Source organism: Homo sapiens, chromosome 2 (assembly GCF_000001405.40).
Source record: "Homo sapiens chromosome 2, GRCh38.p14 Primary Assembly".
NCBI lineage: Eukaryota > Metazoa > Chordata > Mammalia > Primates > Hominidae > Homo > Homo sapiens.
The window spans coordinates 113,056,721-113,077,292 of record NC_000002.12 but is presented as its reverse complement, the minus strand read 5'-3'; the positions used below and the strand labels follow the sequence as shown (position 1 = coordinate 113,077,292).

General features: G+C 46.1%; 2 protein-coding genes across 5 annotated transcripts; both read right to left on the bottom strand.

Annotated features, from left to right (window-relative positions):
• Window positions 1-1,449: 1,449 nt before the first annotated feature.
• On the bottom strand, window positions 1,450-9,323 carry IL1F10 (interleukin 1 family member 10). 2 transcript variants are annotated; one of them, NM_173161.3, is made up of 5 exons: window positions 9,277-9,323; window positions 4,523-4,582; window positions 2,879-2,964; window positions 2,443-2,570; window positions 1,450-2,141 (listed from the first exon to the last, which is right to left on the bottom strand). In NM_173161.3, exons 2-5 carry the CDS (start codon window positions 4,552-4,554, stop codon window positions 1,929-1,931), a joined length of 459 nt encoding a protein of 152 aa, NP_775184.1. In that variant the 5' UTR covers window positions 4,555-4,582; window positions 9,277-9,323; the 3' UTR covers window positions 1,450-1,928. The 2 variants fall into 2 exon arrangements, with proteins under 2 accessions (NP_775184.1, NP_115945.4); NM_032556.6 differs by lacking the exon at window positions 9,277-9,323 and having other exon boundaries at window positions 4,523-4,975.
• IL36RN (interleukin 36 receptor antagonist) lies at window positions 12,549-18,655 on the bottom strand. 3 transcript variants are annotated; one of them, XM_047443918.1, is made up of 6 exons: window positions 18,550-18,655; window positions 18,052-18,160; window positions 17,826-17,881; window positions 16,356-16,441; window positions 15,042-15,169; window positions 12,549-14,840 (listed from the first exon to the last, which is right to left on the bottom strand). In XM_047443918.1, exons 3-6 carry the CDS (start codon window positions 17,852-17,854, stop codon window positions 14,616-14,618), a joined length of 468 nt encoding a protein of 155 aa, XP_047299874.1. In that variant the 5' UTR covers window positions 17,855-17,881; window positions 18,052-18,160; window positions 18,550-18,655; the 3' UTR covers window positions 12,549-14,615. The 3 variants fall into 3 exon arrangements, with proteins under 3 accessions (XP_047299874.1, NP_775262.1, NP_036407.1); NM_173170.1 differs by lacking the exon at window positions 18,052-18,160; NM_012275.3 differs by lacking the exon at window positions 18,550-18,655 and having other exon boundaries at window positions 18,052-18,095.

Sequence of the window (20,572 nt, the reverse complement as noted above, 5' to 3'; positions counted from 1 at the left end):
AGTCCCACCATGTAAACACATAGTTATAATGGGCCAGCCAGGTGATCAATTTCCCGGGGCACATACAGGCTGTGGAGAGGCAGCTCAGAGAAAGAACCTAAACATTATCAGAGCCTATCGTGTAGCTCCCGTCACACTTAATACTTGGAAGCCTGTACTTTGCCTTCAAGGCCACACATGACCCAACCCTGCTGGTCTTGCTCACTGCCTACTCCTCCCTTGCTCTCCAGGCTCCAGCCCCCACCCCAGCCTTCTACTGTTACTTGAACATACCAGCTCCTTTCTGTCTCAGGGCCAACACATTTGCTACTCTTTTGCCTTGATTATTTCTAGTCACAGTTCCTTCCTGTCCATAACCTCAGTGCAGATGTTACCTCTTCAAAAAAGTAAAAAAACAACAACAACAACAAAAAAAAAAAACCTCCCCTGACCCCCCCATCTAATATTTCCATTGAATACCTGCTGCCCTCACCTTCTAATCATGAAAAGTGCCCTTTCTGTTTTCTTGTTTGTTTATTTGCTTGTTTAGTGTTTCTCCCTTTCAATTATCAGCTACAAGGAAGTTTGGTTTTATTCACCATTCTATCCTCAGCTCCTTAAGTGGAATAAAAATTTGCAAAATGGCATTGAGGTCAGCTGCACCAAGTTTTATCTTGAGCTCCAACACTGATAGCCCATATGACCTTCAGCAAGTTATTTCACTTCTCTTAGTCCAGTTTCCTCATCTGTCAAATGGAGGTGAAAATGCTTGCCTTGAAGAGTCATTCTGAGGATGACAACAGAATGTTCTTAAAATTGCTGCCCCATGGTTGGAACTCAGAACACGCTAGGTGAATGTTAAGTAGTTATACAACAGAGGGACAGCGCCAGCAGCCTGTGCCTTCTCTGAGTCCTGATACCATGGGCTTTCTGCTCTAGCTTGATCCCAGTCAAATATTTTCCATGAAACAGAGAAGCGTTTGAGCTCTGAGGATGAGTATGAATTCCAATTGCAAACTCTCAGCTGAATTCCAGCCCTGTACTCCCAGCTATATCAAATCACCTCAACTTAGAGACTCCACTGTAACCTTAAACTCAACACATCCAGGACACACATATTGTCTGGCCCTTGCTACTACTTAAGCACCTGGCAGATAGCGGACTGTACCAACAGTCAACCACGGAATTGTGGATTCACTGTGAAGTATCTGGTAGAAAATCACAAGACTTGAGCTAGAATTTAAGTTGTAAGCAGCCCAGGGCTTTGTCCCTGTGCAGAGGACACTGAGTTCTGCCTGGGGCTTCTTGGTTGTTTCTAGAGGCTCCATAGCAGATGGACTGGAGGAGAAGCTGCAGGTAGCCTTCTAAGAACTCACCAAGTCTCTTGCATCAAACACTGGACACAGGGTCGAATAAGGCTCTGTAGTAGTTTTCTATGGCTGCTATAGCAAGTTACCACAAACTTAGAGGTTTACAATAACACAAGTTTATTATTTTATAGTTGTGGAGGTCAGAAGTCTGAAATGGGTGTCACTGAGCTGAAATCCATGTGTCAAGAGCTGTGTTCCTTCCGGAGACTCTAGAGGAGAATCCGTTCCCTTGGCTTTTCCACCTTCTAAAAACACCTGCATTTGTTGGCTCAAGGCCCCTCACTCCATCTTCAAAATTAGAAGCATGGTATCTTCCATTCTCTCTCTGACTCTCCCTTCCTGCCTCCTTCTTGTGATTAAACTGAGCCCACAAGGATAACCCAGGATTGTCTCCTCATTTCAAGATCCTTAACATAATCACATTTGCAAAACCTCTTTGGACATGTATGGTAACATATGCACAGATCTTGGGATTAGGATGTGGACATATTTCGGGGGACATTATTCTGCCTACCATAGACCCTGAGCAGGATGAGCTTGGTTTGGGGGCACAAGGCTAAAACGCAGTTTCCTGTCTCCCTACCAGCTCTGTTCAAAGTAAAACTTGGTACGGGCTGAGGGCTCACTCTCCTTGGTGAGCTGTACTGGCTGCTGGGGCTCTGCCGGGCCACACAGGAACCAGCCAGGCCAGGCAGCAGCCTCAAGCCTGAAGGCGGAGCCTGAGCTGCTCTGGAAGAAGGTGAAGCGTGTGGCCTCTTCACCACCTTTGTACAGTTCCTCAATGTTCACATCCTGTGGGGGCAAGGTGGATGGCTGCAGAATGAGAGTGCTGATGGAGGTGTTAGCCCTGGAGGCCTCTGGGGCTTGGCCAAAAAAGGACCTGACAGGGCTGGTTTTTACCCAAGGGACTGCCTTCTGCAGATTCTAGAGGGCAAGGGTCTTGGTGCTAGGTGCAGAGGGAGATGGTGGAAACCTGAGGAAGTAGGACATGTGGACCTGGCTGGGAATCCACAGATAGGCACAAAGATGCCAGAGCATCCCAGGGGTCAGGCCAGGTCTGCAGTGTCCCCTAGAATGGGGAGAGGCCTCTCACCTCCAGCTGTAGGGAAGGCCCCTCTTCTGTCTCCACACATGCCAGGCAGCGGCTCCCTCCCTGGATCCCCAGGAAAATGGGGACCTTGGTGCGGGCCAAGCCTCTGTTAGGAAGTATGCAGATCTTCTCTAGGAGGGAAGAGAGAGAAGAGTCAAGGGACAAGGGAACCCCATGTTGCAGGCTCTTGGCAGGTAAAGGCTCAGGCAGGAAGGAACTGGACATGGGCACACCTGGCCTGGCCCTGCATGCAGACTGGACGGTGAGCCAGGACTTCTGCAGGAGTCATGTCCCCTCGCTAGGAGAGGCCACAGCTGCTCTCTGGCCCTTCTCACTGTCACTGGGGGCAGCTGCTGACCCTCTGCTGGGGAGGAAAGGGAAGAAGAGAAGGGAGGGCCTATGGCAGATGGAGCATGGGGTGGAGGCCCCAGAAGCTCACCTGCACAGCAGTTGTCTGCAACAGGATCTCCCACCAGCAGCTGGCCATCTCTTGTGTATAGAGCCTTCTGGTCTGCATATTTAATTCTGAAACAGTATGACAGTGCTGATGGCCCATTCCCTTTATGCACCACTGGCCCCCAAGCCCTTCCACTTCCATGCTCTGAATCACCACCTTGAGCATTTGGGCGATTTTCTCTCCTTCACAGGTGGTAAGAGGGGAATGGTCACTCCCAAGAGCAGGTAAAGACCAGGCCAGCCTTAAAGCAAGGAAGGTCTCCTGTGTTCTTGCTTTTCAGAGGCTGTGCTTCCTGCCTTCTCATGGCTTGGGGAGGCCTTCAGAGGAGAACGGAGAGCCAATGCCCTCTGACAGAGGGGTAAAGAAAATGTTCCTGGCTTCCTGAGAAATTTCTTAGTGAGGCTCAGATGACTTTGGGATACAGTGGACCTTATCTTAAATTTTTTGGGCCTGCCCTAATTGTTTATAAATGTTTATTCTCTTTAGTACAGAGATTGAGTGTATACTGAAGTGTGATTTGCTTTTCAGATATTTTAAAGGCTTCAAAGTCATGCAGGGTATTAGCTCAGTCACCTAGTTGGTTTCAAAGATGCCTGTCAGCTGCTGTCAGGGCTGGAGAGCTCTCATTAACCTTTTAGGGCAGAACCTCTGGACAAATTCCACCACCTCCAGGGGATTTTTCTATCTCAATAACAGCTAACGATAATACCCTTAGCTAATGACTGTACATATTTAAAGCAGGTTCACTTGTACAATAAAAATAAACTTCCGGAAAGATCCTGGGCGTGTTATCTGGCATTCCCCTTGCCACCTTGACAACCCAGATGTGACAACTCACATGCCAGCAGCATTCTATTTGGAGACCAGAACCCAGATTAGATGCCCTGAAGTGCTGACATCTGCTTTGTCATTTATGTGCTTCCTATGTATGTGTCTTGCTTCCCAGCCAGGCTGTCACCTCCTTGAGACCAGGACTGCTCCCCACCCACCTTGTCCAGGACACAGCCCTGGACATTACAGGGTCCATGGGAGGGGCAGAGGAAATGCATCCCAGAGTCCTCTTTGATTTTTCTTATGCCTCACCTCCTTCCTGAAAGGAGCTTATGACAAAATCACAGACAACAAAGTAGTAAAAGATAAGGAAGGATGCAAATCTCAAATGAGATGAAATGTAAGTAAGTGTTAGAAGCCCACACTGGGAGTAAAGGCCACAGGGACCACCATCAAGATGCTGTCATTGAGATTCAAAACTTTCTGACATTTCAGAGAGGCGGATGGAGCAGCACAGAGGACATGAAGTCTGATTCCTGGCTCTGCCTTTTGGTAGCTGTGTGACATGGGGGAAGTTATTTACCCTCTTTGAGCCTCAGCTTCCAGATCTGTAAAATGGGTTTAATAACACTCCACTTACAGACTTTTTGGAACAGAGATGAGGCAGTAGATTGGCTGGCATCTTGCAGACGTTCAGGAAAGAGCTGTTGCTACTGTGGTGATGATGAAGCTTAATTATGGGGCACTTGCAATTTCTAAGGTGAGAAGGAGCCTCATCCTCTGACTCAGCATTCCTTTCCTCTTCCCACCCTGACCCCCTGGCTTGGAAAGCAGGGACATGCCAGGACAACTTACATGTAGTATCTTGCCATGGGGAGGGAACACATTCCTGCAATCAGTGGTGTCTGGTCCTCACTGATGGGGAGGAGAGAAGGGCAGTTAGAAAAGGAGGCTGGGTGAAGCCAGAGGCAGACGTGCTGGGGCTTAGAACCACTCAGCCAAGGGCTGCACGGGTTCCCCAGGCCATTCGTCTATAATTGGCCTGCCAGAATCCACCAAGGCTTCCACCAGCCCAGCAGGCTCCAGGCAGCTCTGCCTCTCCCTGACTGAGGCTATCCGGGAGCAAGTCCAGCCACCAGGGGTGTGAGCCTGGGATGTGTGTGCTTGCGCTGGTTCTGAGAAACTGGAAAACAGATTCCCCCAAATAGCTGAGCCACAACAATTCCCAGCCCTGAGAGTGGGGTGGAGTGTGCTGTAGCCTCCCTCACAGTTGGAGGATAAGCCCAGCTCAAACCCAGTCCCACTGCCCTGTTGGCCAACAGGGCACCACACCCCCGCCCCCATAACTAGCCAAGGGTTAGATAACTAGAGCCCAGAGTGAAAGAAGAGAGCACAACTAGAAGGGGTCTCCAGCAGCAGTGAGGCTGGTGGGGTCTCCCCAGAGAGTTGGAAAACATCATTCCTAGTGACTAGAAGTGCTTGGCCAAGACTGCCGAAAACAGCCCATCCAAACTCCCCCATTCTGTTCCAGATGGAAAATGGCACAGTGAAGATAGTGGCCCTGTATAAATGCCAGGCCACACAGCCTCACATGACTCTGCTCCTTCCCGATGGGTTATCCTGTCCTAGAGCTCTTCCCTAAAATGAACACCCATTGGAAAGGCCAGTCCAGAATTTAGCATGGAAATAAACCCAGAGCTAATCAGGAGTTGGAAATTAGCTCAGGAAAGTAACGCAAGTATGACTAGGGCTGAGGTTTACCGAGTAGATCTGATTCTCACCAAATAAGAAGGGAATAGAGAAGAAAAAATATAAGAAAGCAGAAAATGAGAGAAGAGAAAGGAAGAAGGCAGGTGGAAGAAAGTAATAGGGCTCAGGGAGGAATAGAGAGATGCTGAGGGACCCTGGGGAGGCAGGTGAGAAGGAACAGGTGGGTGCTGAGGATACGGCTTCCAACCACCTCAGCTCTCAAGTTCCAGAAACAGGGCTGTAGCCAAGGTGGCTTTTAGTACTGGGTCTGTCACTGTCACTTTGGACAAGTCATTTTCTGTCCCCAGGCCTTGGGGTATGACTTTGAGACTTAGAGTGAAGGATAATAGGGACTAACAAGTGCAAATTCTGGAGGGATGTTGGTGCTGTGAATGAAAGTCTTAAAGCATTCTGTATACTTTGTGATTGCATGTGTTTCCCTTACTCTTAGGAAAAATAACGGATTGCCCAAATGTTTACTTACAAAAATGTTCACTGCATAATTTTTTACAATAGCAAGAAGTTGAAAAAAATCTGAATTTTCAGTAATAGGTAATTGGCTAAGAAATTATAGCAAAATTCAATAAATAAGGATGTATGTGTTTGTTAAAGATGATATTATAGAAGCTTGTTTTAGGACATAAAAATTTTCAAAATATATTAGGTGAAAAATGCAGATTATAAATCAAGTGTACACTGTAATTCTATTTAAATCCACACATAGAGACACATACATAGAAATGTTACTCGTGTTGTTGCACCACTTACCTATGGCTTTATGAGTAATTTTTTAAACATATCAACATTTTCCTATAATGAACATGAATTTCCTTTGTAGTATCAAGTAAGTTTCAACATTTTTTAAATGAAGTGTTCAGTTAAAGTCATTGGCTCCTAAATGTGCCTGCCCATCTGCATCACCTGGGGGACTCTGTATAATTACTATTTCCTGGGCCGAAGGTTCTAATTCAGTAGGACTTGGAGTGATTCCAGCAATCAGCCATGCTGCTTGGGAACTGGTGTACTTTCATTCCATTCTTCACACTTATTAATAAATATATAAACCACCTGCAGTTCTTGTTAAAATAACAGATTCTGGTTTTTCAGGCCTGGGGTGGGGCCTGAGACTGTACATTTCAAATATGCAACCAGGTGATGTCAATGCTGCTGGTTCCTCCTGGCCAGCACTTTGAGTCCTAAAGGACTAGACAATCCCCCAGTACAGATAACTCAACAGCATCATGGCCTCAATGCAAGCCCACTTGATGATGGGCTCCCCTTGGCCAAACCACTGGGGCTTCTTTGGTTGTAGCAGCAGGACAGTGGGCAGTGTGGTAGCTGTGCCCAGATCTAGGTGGGGCAACAAAGTGGAGGGCCCTGGGTGAAGGTGGATAGCAAGCTGATGACTCCCACTCTGGGTCAGTGTCAGCTCAAAGAGCTGGAAGAAATTCAATGCTGGTCCAGTCCAGCTGGATCCCATGGGCCCTAGAAACCTCCCATTCTGGCACAGCCAAAATGTACAGTGTCTTTCCCAAAGGCTCCCCTATTCGGCTCCCTCCGCCTGGGTTCTGATAGATTGTGATGAAGTGAGTAAGGGTAGGAAGCTAGCGTCTGGTCCATCAGAGAGCCTGGGTCTTGGTGCTGAACCTCTGCTGTGTGCCAAGCCCCTCCCAGTGTGCCACATGCCTCACCCCCAAAGCTTCCCCTCCCTATTTTCCTCAAATGACTTTTCACTGAACTTCAGTCTATATCCCTCTTTTCTTCCTCTCATTTCTCCCTGGACATGGCATCTGGCTCTCAGACCTCCGCAATTCACCTGTCCTGGCTCAAACACTGCCATCAGCTAAACTTGGGCTTTCCCCATGTTCTTTTGCACAGCACCCTGTCCTATCCTTCATCATTCTCCTGCACAGTATCTATGTGGGATGTTCTGTCCAAGACCAATATTAACTTCTGTGGAGCAAGATCCAGAGATTCTTTTGATTCCTTTGATATTTAGTCATTGCCTCCTTGGAACCCTTGACATTGAATGACTCCCTTCACACCTCTTTCTCCCACTGTAGATTTCACCTCCTTCTGGGGCCACCCCTAAGGCTAACAAGGTCCTAAGCACTTCTATTTCACATCATATTAAGCTGCAATTCATTGACTTCTACAGCTGCAATGATTATCTTGGGCTAATGGCTCCCAAATGTAGACTGCACATCCCACTTTACCTCCTGCAGCCTACAGGACAGCCCACTTTGGACATCCTGCTGATATCCAACCAAATATATTTAAGGTTAAGTTAATTATCTTCTCCTCCCAGCCCACACATTCCTCCCAATTTCATTTCTCTCACTGTCATAATATTCCTCTCACCAGTGATATTCAAAACCTGAGACTCATTGACAATATCTCCTACTTCTCCTGACTCAGTGTCTAACTTATCAAGTCCCTACAGGTTATTTCTTTAAAATATAACTTTGTGTTTTTAATTGCCATTACTACTGTACTTGTATTCCCGGTTTTTCTGCCTTTCATTCATTCCAACCTATGTGAGGAATGTGGACCCACGTTCTAAAGATTTTTTTCACCACATCCCTGCCCAGCTCTAGAATCTACAGTGACTGACTGTTTTGTCACCGTCTGGCACTGATTTTCTTGTGTGATAGCATCTCACTTCTCCATGGACACTAAACCACACCTCCTGGCGACATAATTCCTTTCTTATCTTCTCAGTGGACGTACTCACAGGTGTCCCATTGTTCTCCCTGCCTCAAAAGTCATCCCTTCTCATTGTCATCCATTCAGATCTTTTGATATTAAGATCACTGGAGATAGTATCAGTATAGATGGGTTCAGTATCTAGTTCTATCAAATTAATTACCAGTGTAGAGTTACAGCTTAGACATACAGGGTTATGTCTTTTAACCTCCAACCCTCAGTTTCAGCACTATACATTCATGGGATTAGATTATGTGGTTATGAAGGTTCTTTCTAGGCCAAACTATTTATAATTCCATGACTCAGAGTTTAATGAATCTTTCCCTTACTATTGTAACTCTACTCTGAACTCCTATTAAATTTTACTGTATTATTTATTGTTGTACATAAAGATATTTGTTTCCCTTATAAAAGTTTATAAGATCTTGAAGTCATGAAGCATGGCTTACAGCTCACTTGAAGCTCTCTCCAACCACCCTAATTGAACTACCCTGGTCCTTGTGGCCAGGACATAGAAACACACAGAGCAGACTTTGAATAGAAAGGCTGAGTCCTAGACCTAGCTCTGCTACCAATTTATTTTGCCACCTTTTATCCCTGGGCCTTCAACTTATCAACATTGGATGGAAAGATTGAGTAAGGTATCTTTCAAAACTGTTTTAAGTTTCACAATAAAATTTTATGCAGAATTCTAATGATTGTAAAAAGGATAAAGGGCAGCTGCTTTGCTGACACAGGAAGCAATGGAGACTTTGGAACCCTGCTAGTATTTCTCTTGCCTACAAAGAAGACACTGAGGAGCTACCAAGGAGCACAAAAAAAAAAAAAACGAAAACAAAAAATCTCTTAAGCTTCCACCAAACACGGTTTGAATACCATTGGCCCAGATGGTTTCTTTTGAGATTACTTTCTAAAGTCAGTTGTTCTAAGTAGTTCAGAAATCTTGATTTGGCTTAACCTATTCCTTCTCCTCAAATCTCTTTATGTGCTCCTAAATGTTTTTGATGTCCCATCATGTCATATGAGGGGACTACCTTGTTACCTAGACAGCTTGCCAGGAGGAGTGAAGGGATAGAGGGCATACCAGAGATATTGACAGGAGAGAGTAGAAAAGAAAGAAAAGAGAGAGAGAATATTGCCTGTCCATCACTGACCTGCAGATCCTGAGTTCCTGGAACCCTGATCCCTGGAGACTCCAACTGATTTCTCCAGGGCATTGCGCTGTGTTTATACCGTCTGGTACAGGTGGGTCAGGCCTGCACCAATCTCTATAATTGGCTGCAGGACATGAAGGAAGAAGAGCCTGGGCATTTCACAATGTCTTTGGTACAGCATGAATAATAAGATGGTGGGAACATTAAGGAGCATTTGTTGAAGGGGGAGAGAGTCATCCATAAAGCCTTGGCAGAAATAAGGTATGGGGCCCCTGCTCTGTACTGACTGTCGTTGACTATGTTATTAGTGGGTTTGCAGCCAGATAAACAGTGCTGGGGTCAGACATCTTTGGTGCCCCGTGGGGCTCCATCCTAGGCTTGAAGAGGTGGTGAATACAAGAGAAAGTATGTCTGGCAAGCCCAAGGACAGAACAAATTCTGATGCCGGAATCCAGGCTGTGGCCAGACAGCCAGAATAAGAGAAGGGGCTGATAGCACTGTGAGTGTGACTCTGTTTGGAAAGACGAGAAGGGAGTCTCTGCTTTTCAGTGGGTTTAATTAGTTGGTACCAGCTTGATGGGACAGAACATCTAGGGAAACCCAACTGCAAAGATATTGACCTCAGATTCACCCTGAGACTGAGCAGACATCATGTGCCATGGACTGCTAGGAAATATGATAGTGTGAGTAGAGCACAGAGGAAAGAACACTCAGGTCTCTAATTGACATTACTTGACTCAGTCCATCCATCCATCCATCCACCCGGCCACCCATCTGTCCATCTATCTACCCATCTGTCCATTCTTCCATCCATCCATCATCCATCCAACCATCCATCCACCCATGTGCCCATCCATCCACCCTTCTGTCCACCCTTTCATCCATCCATTCATCCATCCATCCATCCATCCATCCATCCATCCCTCCATTACAAGCGTGGAGAAGCTTAGGTGTAATGTTCTCTGGAAACTAACAACCTTATTATAATTCTCCCTCTTTGGTCATTTGCAAAGTTCCACCAAGGGCTTCTTGAGGAAGTGGGATAGGTGGGTCTAAGACTCAGATGCCTGCAGGATGAGAAATGAGAAAAGATGGGCAGAAATGGGACCAGATTTCTGCTTTCTAAGGCCAGTGATCATTCTTCTTCCACTCTCCCAATCTCTCACCCTTCTATGGGAAGGCTTAAAGCATGAGTTACTATGTCAGGCAACCAATGAGTGTTTACCCAGCATTTACACTGCTGTGTGACACAGACATTCAATACACAGTCCTTGTTGTTAAGTAGTTTCACAGTCTAGCTGAGGAACTAAGTCATAAACACTTGAAAAGATAATTAAGAAGACCAGACTCTCTAAGCTGTGGGCCAAGGACATGTTGGAAACAATAGTGGCAGATAAGCTCCTTGGGCAAAAAAAAAATCTTAGAATTGAAAGGACTTTAGGCCAGGCATGGTGGCTCATGCCTGTATCCCAACACTTTGGGAGGCTAAGGCAGGCAGATCCCTTGAGGTCAGGAGTTCAAACCAGCCTGGCCAACATGGTGAAACCTCGTGTCTACTAAAAATAGAAAAATTAGCCAGGCATGGTGGCATGCACCTGTAGGCCCAGCTACTTAGGAGGCTGAGGCAGGGGAATCACTGGAACCTGGGAGGCAGAGGTTGCAGTGGGCCAAGATGGCACCACTGTACTCCAGCCTGGGCGACAGAGTGAAACTCCATCTCATAGACATGGAATCATAGTTTCCCTCCAATTGGAGAAATCTGTGCTATGGCATCCCTGAGAAATTGGTTAATTAGGCTCTGCCTTAACATCTCCAGGGTCAGGGACCACACAACCTCTTGAAGAAACCCTATCAATGTTTGTGGTCCTTGTGGTTAAAATATGGGGGTCATATAGGAAAAACAGCCTCCACATAATTTGCACCCATTGGTTCTGCTTGTGTGTTCTGGAATTACACAGAACAAGCACATTCTTCTACTTGGCAAGCCTTTAAGTGCTTGAAGAGGGCTCCCTGTGCATTGCTTTTTTCAGGATAATACCTCCCACATCGTAGCCTCTTCCCTACAGCCTGCCCTTGGAACATTCTCTGTTCCTCGATGTCTGCAATTTGTACAAACCCCACATGATGTGAGTATTGCATCTCTGTAAATACAGGTCCAGGCCAGTGATTTATACCAAAATTGCAGAAATCTAAAGCCACTAACTCTTTTTCACTTGTAGAGTCATGATGTCCAGCCTGTACATTCCTGAAGGAGGCATTTTATATTCCTTCTTTTACTACTGACTTGTGTCGGCTCATCATGGCTAAAGCTCTTCTGAGTTCTGTCATCCTACAAATGAGGAAGCAACAAATTCAGGCTGGAGAAACCTTCAAGAATGAGGTGGAATTTAAGCTGCTCCCTTAGAGGTGGGCCTGTTTAGATGGGTGGAGGAGAAGGAGAGAATATTCCAGGGTGGAGAAATAGTTTCTACATTATATACTCATTGGGTTTCCATTATGTGCCAAGCATTATGCAAGGTGCTAAGAGACAAACTTATATGTCCCTAACCTTAAGGTCATCCCAGGGGCCACAGACTCCAAGTTAAGGTACTACAGTGCAGGGAGGTGCATACAAACATTGCCAGATCAGATAGCTGGGGGTGTCTCAACTCAGTAAAAGCTTCTTGGAGGAGGTGACATCTTAGCAGGGTATTGAAAGATGAGAGATTTATCTAGGCAGAGAGGATGGATGGAGGACCCAAAAGCAGAGGGAGCAGCACAAGACTGTGTCTGGGCCCATGGACAAAGAGAGTGTGAACAGGGTCTGAAACACAGCCTAGCATCCGGAGCTCATGTTCTTGGCAGCCCTGAGAGGCCTGGGGTAGGAGCTGTGCTGCCTGTTGCCTGAGGACTTCAGCTGAATCTGGGCTGGAGCTGTGAGGTCCATAGAGGCAGCCTTGTCTGTCCTGGCCACCTCCTTGCCAGTGCCTCAGTGGACTCTCAACCACCAAGCTGGTCCAACAGGTGAAGTGCAGGTGGAATACCTGGGGCTCAGATATGGGCTCCTCCTCTGGCTTCTGCTCCCATTCCCCAGGGTTTGGGTGGGGACACTGGAGTTCATTCCTGGCACATAGGACAAGAGGATCTCAATCTTGCAGAACCAGATGACTCAACAAATGCTGTATTATTAGCTTTTAAATAGAATATTTGGGTAAATGAAGGATAGTTGTTCATTGTGAGAAAGAAAATAAAAAATATTGGAGAAAATTGCAATAATAAAACAAATGCATTTGTTTCTCTTTCTCTGCATATTATTTATCTATTGCTGCATAACAAGTTAGACCAAAACTGAGCAACTTAAAACAACAAACATCGATTATCTCACAGAGTCTCTGCTTCTAGGTTCACTAATGTGGCTGTGGGCAGGAGACTTCATTTTTTACCACGTAAGTCTCTTTATAGGCCTGCTCATAGCATGGCAGCTAGCTTCCCCCAGAGCGAGTGAGCCAAGATAGATTGGGGGCGGTGGGTGGCAGAGAGAGAGGGCTCAAGTAGAAGCTGCAGTGTCTTTTATAACCTAATCTTGGAAGTGGCATGCCATCACTTCTGCCATATTCTATTGGTCACAAAGACAACTTTGGTACATTGTGGGAGGGGACACACACAGAATGTAAACACGAGGAGACAGGGATCATTTTAGCAGCTGTATTAGTTTCCTAGAGCTGCTGTAACCAATTATCCTTGGTGGCTTAAAACAGCCGAAATTTATTCTTTCTTCGTTCAGGAGGCTGGAAGTCTGAGATTAAGGTTTCAGCAGAGCCGTTATCCCTCTAAAGCCTCTAGGGAAGAATTCTTCTTTGCCTCTTCCAAGCTTCTGATGGTTGCCACAATCCTTGGTGTTTCTTAGCTTGTGGCTGCAAAACTCCGATCTCTGCCTTCATCTTTACATAGTCTTCCCCGCATCTCCTCTGTCTCTGTGTCCTCTCCTTTTCATACAAGGAAACCAGTCATATTGAATTTAGGTCTACCTTCATCCAGCATGACCTTGTCTTAACTAACTACATCTGCAGAGACCTTATCTCCAAATAAACTCACAGACTGAGATTCCAAGAAGGATGTGAATTTGAGGGGGACACAATTCAACCAGTACAGCAGCCTTCTTAGAGACTGGATCCAATGCCTTGGAATCCCAGGGGCTGTGATCCTTCTAGGAAAGAATTACCAGATGATTTTTGTTCTTTAAGTTCCTTACCCAGAGATTCCAGCCACACAAACTCAGCACAGCCTCCTCCTCAGTGGCTTTGCTGAGATCTGTTTCCTGATCACTACTACAACCAACCAGAGCAGCAGAGCTCGATTCAATTTGAATTTACTCTGGGGAAGTGGAGGCTGAGGACAATCAGAGATGATGTCTACTCTGCTTACCTCAAGATTAATTTCTTTTCTTATTTTTATACAAGGAATTCATCTTCATTGTAGAAAAATTAGGAAATACAGGTAAATTAACAGAATTAAAAGAAAAATCACCTATACTGCCACCACCCTGACATTGCTACAATTGAAGTAAACTCTTCCAGACTTTTTTCTATAAAGAAATATATAAATAGGTATCTTTTAATTAAAATAAATTGCAATATATGCCACTTTGTAAGTAGGTCTTCTCAATATGTCATGAGCACTTTTTCATGGGAATAGAGACCAGCATCTGGGATTTTGATTGTATCTTGGGTTTTTAAAAGAGGATCAGCATACCCTACTTATCTTTTATCTTCTGAGCTCGAGCCATTTCTTCTGACATCAGCACCTCCTCATGCCCACAACAAGATGATGAGGGAAGAGATAGGAAAGGTAGCATATGACAGTGGCAGGATTAAAGGGAAGGAGGTGGGGCTGGGCCAAGGGCCATAGATCCCTGACTCTATGACCACCTCCCTCTCCTGCATAGTGGTGAGTGACAGGTCTTCATGTGGAGAGCTACTGACCCTATAAGGCTCAACTGGGGATGGGTTGGCCTGCGGGGCTCAGGGTAACACTGGTCAGTTACCATTAAGCAGGAATGATTCCCACCACTCCCCCACCCCACCTCCACAGAAATCTTTTCATGTTATTCCCAGTTTACCCCACATGGTTTTTACAAGATTCCACAGCAGTAGCACCATCCAGTGGGGGAGGACCGTGGACTGAGCTCCAAATCTCAGAATTTATCCAAACTGGGAACCAGAAGACAAAGTGGTCAGGTGCCCACTAAGTCAGACGTGGGGGTCCTGAGAGCAGAGAGAGTGATTGTCCGCCATGGGTCTCCTCCACTCACCCCTCACCCGAGCTGGCTCTGCCCAGGGAGTTCTGGGGGGCACGTTGCCCTAGTCACACTGCTGGAAGTAGAAGTCTGTGATGGGGGCATTCCAGCCACCATTCTCGGGAAGCTGGGTGAGTCTGACAGGCTGATCGGCTTCAGGCACCGTGCACAGGAACCAGCCCGGGTAGGCAGCCGACTCGAAGCTGGAGGTGAGCCCCATGTCCCGCCGGTAGAAGGTGAAGCTCTTGGATTCCTTGGCACCAAGATAGAGCTCCATGATGTTCACTGGCTGCCGGCAGAGGAGGGGAGGTCAGGTGAGGGCAGAAGCAGGGGCAGAGGGAGGGCTGGGCAGGATCCTTAGGGAGGAGGCAAAGCTGCCATCAACAGAATCCTGCTAGGGTGTCCCACAGCACCAGGGCTGTGGGCTGCCCGGCTTCAGTAGGCTCAGCATCTGTGGCTGAGTCCCCAGTGAGGATGCCCCAAGTCTCACCTCTAGTGTTAGAGTCGGCTCCTGCCCCACCCCACATGACAGGCACTGGCTTCCACCCTGGACACCCAGGATGACGGGGGACAGGCTGGCATCCAGCCACCGATTGGGGACCACGCTGATCTCTTCACCTGTGGGAAAGAGGCCAGATGCAGGGCCCTGGATGCCTTTCCCTCCTTCTTCCCCTGTCCTGGGCTCTAGGGCACAGGACTGCTGTAAGACGGCCTGCCCCCAGGCTGGGCAGAAGGGAGGCTTCTCAGCAGCTGTCATGACATGGCTTCTCCTGTCCACTGGCTCAGAGTGGACATCAAGGCATGGAAGCACATTGTACCACCTCCACTCCACCCTCTAGTTCAGGGTCAAATCTTCAAGCCTCTACACCCCAAAATAGATTCAACCCCCTCCTTTAATGTCCCTTGGGTCTCAGGCCTTTTTCTGAACCCTGTCTTGATAAGCCCCCCTTTGGAATTGTTTGGACAACTTTCTACACCCTGTGATGTTGCTGAGAGCAAAAGAGGGTCTCATTCCTCTCTGTACATCCCCTCACCACCCACATACATCAGATACATACATACACAGATACATGCATGCACACATATACATATACACACACATGCTCATACCTACATACCTGCACTCACACATACATGGTTACACACAGATACATGCATGCACACATGCTCACACATATATGCCTGCATGCACACATACATACACCAGTAAGCACACACATACACATATGGCCTAGCTGAAGGATCTACCTGGCATCTGTGCTCAGCAAGGGTGCCCCAGGTGGGCAGGTGCAAACTATTTTAGAGAGGGACGTGTTGCAGTGCATGGGGCAGAGTGAGCAAGCAGGAGGTCCAACAATGCCACCTGTTCTCTGGGTCCCTCCACTCTAAGTGACTGAGGATCTTCAGAGAGCAGAGGGGACCCAGGGTGGAGAGGCAGAAACCCACTCCCATATGGGAAAAAAGGTATAGAGAATCTACGTTAGTTCTCTCCTTGGTACTTACTGGCTCCCAGGGAATGCAATGCTTGACCTAAATCTACCTGTAAGGGAATGACAAGACAAGCCTCTTGGAAAACATTCCCACTTCTGCATAGAAGCTTCAGGTGGCCCCAGAGCCTGTGTCTTCACTTTGCTGAGAGGTGTAGTATTTTATTTGCCTTTGCTTAGAGCCTGGTTTGTGCTGCCCCAATGCCTGGGCTCTGTAGGCCTATGCTAATCTGTATGACTATTCTAAGCCCTCTTCAGGCCCCCTCCCCTGAGAGTGTATAGAGACCAAGGAAAGTGGGTCATGTTTCATCACCAACCTTTAATGACCTTCCCTGCATGCAGCCCTCCAGCTAGAAGCTGGTTATTATGCAGATAAAGCACCTTCAATGCCGAGTCCTTCATTCTGAAACATCAGGAAGGGGTGAGGACTACATTAGGAGGAGGGTGGACACTCCAGCATGCCCTGGATCCAGAGAACCCCCTGATCTCAGGCATTTTGTCTCTCTTTCTTCCTACTGTGCCAGAAGTAACAGCACAGCCTTGTCTCCCAGCCCTGCTGGGCTCATGCCCTACAAGGAGGATGACCCCACAGTCTCCCACTGGAGTCTGTGGTTTGCTCCTTCACCCTATTCAACCTTTTCTGCCCCAACCCATCTCCTGCTGGAAGAGAAGCTGCACGGTGAGTCAGAGCCCTAGGTTCTTGCCCCATCTCTGCCTCCAATGCTGCTGAGTCGCAGGAGACAACTCTCTCGCCCACTCTGGGCCTGAGCCTCCCCATTGCTACACTAAGATGATGGGTTGGATAACATCCAGGCCTCTTCCACGTTAAAGCCTGATTCTTCAATTCTTCAAGATACATGTATTTCTATTTGGTCATATATTCCTTACTAAGTGAGGAGTTTCTTTAAATTTAAATTTCTTTTATTTAACTTTTCAAAGTTGTTTCTCATCTTTGAACTCAGTTGATTTCCTGGCATCCTATGAGGTGGAAGATGTATCCTAAAGTGGGTTTCTCCAAAAGTTATATGGGGGAAAAGGATGCAGTGTAAAAATTGGGTCGATGCATGGCTAAATACAATTCAACAAGTTGCCTTACTTCAGAAAACCTCAGAGTCACTCATATGCTGAGCTGGGCTGTGGTTCTCTTATGAGAGGATGTAGAAAGCAGAATTCCCTGCATTTACTTGATCAGAGAGCTCCACTGTGTAAAGCATCTCCTGGATGCCTCTGTGGGACTCCTCTAATCGAGTCCCATAGAACACATCATGGGAAGTGCTTTATTAGACTGAGAGAAAGGACCACTCTCATCCTCTGTTGTAAAGCCCAGAACACGGCAGAGTGTCTGGCTTGGTACATGCCAGTGGGTGGACAGACTGACTGATGGTAATGGTTTTTGTTTTATTATTATCCCCAAAGAGTAGCAGGGAGGCAGGGGCACAGAGTGGGTGAGCTTACATCCATTCACTGTGATGGGGGACAATGGCGGAGCTCTGAGCAGGGATCCTGGCCCCCGTTCCCACCTTGGATAGACTTGGCTGGAGCTCTAGACTGGGAGGTTCACTTATCCCCCTCAGCATCAGGGACCCCTTGTGAGATGGCCTGCCCCAGTCCTGCCCCTATTTGAAAAAGGCTGGGAAAACTCTAAGAGCAGTGAGGTGCTGGTCACAATTTCCCAGCTGCAATGGCAGCCCCTCCCTTCCTCCCTCCTGCTCAGAGCTGGACAACGGGTCTATCCAGAACTCACTTCCTCCGGAGGACACCACCAAACCAGGGCCTCATACACTCACCGGAAGCACAGCGCCCCACTCAGGACCATCTTGAGCTCCACAGGGTGTAGACTCCCCTATTTTGGAATAAACAACAGAAAATCATGGAGAGAGAGGCTGAGTTGGCTGGGGTCTGGGGAGCAAGCAGCTGCACCGAGCTCCCCAGCATGTGAACAGCCTCCACGGAGCAGATTCTGGGTCTGGGGTCAGGAGAGAGCTCCGGTACCACCAGCGCCCCAGAGCATACCTCAGAATGTTCCTTTCTCCTGGCGGGAGCTGTGGAGTCTGCCTGTTCCTCCAAGGATGCCTCAGCCTTTTAAGTAAGGCCTAGGGAGGGGCCCTGAAACTGCCAGGACCTGAGGAGGAGCAGGATTCCCAGCGTGATTTCACATCACCCTAAGTCGCCAGAAGCACTTGCTGCTCATTATCTGTCGTGGGGAGGGAAGCTTCTGGAGACAGTTTCCTTCCAGAAATATTGAAGAACTTCCTTGAGGCTTTCCAGCTCTTTGTGAGCACTAGGCTTTTGCATCTCAGGGGCTTTCAGACCCTAAGAGTCAGTGCCCATGGCAGCTCAAGGGAAGCGCGACTTTCTTTCCTCCCTGCCTCCCTCCCTTTCTTCCTTCTTTCCATCTTTCATTCACTCACTCCCTCCCTTTTCCCTTCCTTTCTTCCCTCCCTCTTTCCTTCCTTTCCTTCTTTCCCTTCCCATTTCCTCCCTTCCTCCCCTATTCCCTTTCTTCCTTACCTTTTTCACTCCTTCCTTCACTCCTTCCCTTCTCCCTCCTTCCTTCCTCTGTCTTTCCTGCCTGCCATTGCCAGGCCTACAGGAGATGTTAGAGGTGGGACTCTCCTGCTTAGGGAATGTTCAGCCTACATGTTCATTGTAGAAAAACCTGAAAATCCAGATCAGCCACAAGAAAAAATGTGAATACTTGTCTTTTCTGAGTGCATCATCAGAAAACCAATGACAACACTATTTCCTCCACACACATACACATGTAACTATAGACAGCTTTCATACAACAGATTCACAAAACCTATACTTTTTCCAACCTCATTTTTTCATGTGGCAAAATAGCAAAATATCTTTCCATACTAAATATGAATAATGACATGCTTCAATAGCTGTATAGTATTTAACTGTATCACTGTAACATTATTTATTGAAACCTATCCACTGTTATTTGTCTTTTATATATTTTTCTCTCTTTTTTTGCTATTGAAAACCATGTTGTGACAAACATCTTTGTATTAACATCTTTGCTCATGTATCTGGTTATTTCTTTAGAAAGTAAAATCTAGCTCATGCCATCTATAATTCTGTAAGTGATCTTTCTTGAATACCTAATTGATAAGATAATACTTAATTGTGAAACAGTTAATGCAGTTTAAATACCTCCATGCACTCTCTGTGATGGATCTGAAATAAAGGTAAGGGTCAGTGCACAAAAAACAATTTAATTATATCTTGAATAACACAGATAACTATTTATTAATAATTTATTGTTAAAGCATACACTTTTTTTTTAAGTTTTATTTTTCTTTTTTCTTTTATTATTATTATTATACTTTAAGTTTTAGGATACATGTGTACAATGTGCAGGTTTGTTACATATGTGTACATGTTAAAGCGTACATTTTAAAGAAATGGTATTCAGACATATGAGCCAAGAGGTCCTACAAGTGTTCAAGAATAAATAAAATATCAAGTTGTTCAAAACACAGAAAATAATCTACGATTTTCATAATGCCACTAATATGATAGACACTTTTCAGAAAAATAAAATTAATGTAGAAACTGCCTTGTACAAAATTATTAAATTACAAATTGACCAAATGGAATGACAGTAGAAATAAGATGAAATGAGACAAGCCTGGCCAACGTGGCAAAACCCCATCTCTACTGAAAACACAAAAATTAGCCGGGTTGGTGGTGCACATTTGTAATCCAAGCTACTCAGGAGGCTGAGGTGTGAGAATTGCTTGAACCTGGGAGGTGGAGGTTGCAGTGAGCCAAGATTGAGCCACTGTACTCCAGCCTGGATGACAGAGAGAGCTAGACTCTGCCTCAATAAATAAATAAATAATAAGTAAAATGAAACTATGACTGTGTATACTGTCAATATTATATGAAAACATTATCAAACAGGCCTCACCAACAATAAGTTCTCTCTGGACCTATCCCTTTGCTTGACTTACTAATTAGGTCTCAGACTCTGTGAAATTAGCCATGAACTAAGAGAACATTGATAAATTACACATTATTCCTGTCTGATAGAAAAGATAACTCCAAAGGGTGCAGTTTTATTGCCTCACAAGTCATAAAGCTGTCTTTAAAACGTAACTTAGCCAACCTATTTCAGCCTTTATTTCTTGACTGACGGTATAAGCCTCCATTCCCTGAATTATCTTTTGATAATCAGCTTTATAATCTTGCTGATTCCCTCACTTATGAAAAATAGTAAATCTTTGACACATGCTCACTATATGTGTGTATGAGAGTCAAGTTTTGAACTTCTGAAAAATAAACTTTGGCACTACCTAAAGACAATGCTGCCAATTCGCAAACCATGTGTGGCTGTTTTAAAATATGTCCATAAATTCTTGGAAACTTCATCTTTAAGAAGGTGATATGGTTTGGCTCTGTTCCCACCCAAATTTCATCTTGAATTGTAGCTTCTATAATTCCCACGTGTCATGGAAGGAACCCAGTGGGAGGTAATTGAATCATGGGGGCAGGTCTTTCTTGTGCTGGTCTCATGATAGTG

Bases quoted from the DNA above. Each gene is read 5' to 3' on its own strand.
- IL1F10 (NM_173161.3), bottom strand. From the start codon at position 4,554: ATGTGTTCCCTCCCCATGGCAAGATACTACAT. The intron at 2,965-4,522 runs GTAAGTTGTCCT...ATACTGTTTCAG, and splicing joins CCCATGGCAAGATACTACAT to AATTAAATATGCAGACCAGA. The intron at 2,142-2,442 runs GTGAGAGGCCTC...TTGCCCCCACAG, and splicing joins GGCCTTCCCTACAGCTGGAG to GATGTGAACATTGAGGAACT.
- IL36RN (XM_047443918.1), bottom strand. From the start codon at position 17,854: ATGGTCCTGAGTGGGGCGCTGTGCTTCCG. The intron at 16,442-17,825 runs GTGAGTGTATGA...CTGATGTTTCAG, and splicing joins AGTGGGGCGCTGTGCTTCCG to AATGAAGGACTCGGCATTGA. The intron at 15,170-16,355 runs GTTGGTGATGAA...TCTTTCCCACAG, and splicing joins TGCAGGGAAGGTCATTAAAG to GTGAAGAGATCAGCGTGGTC.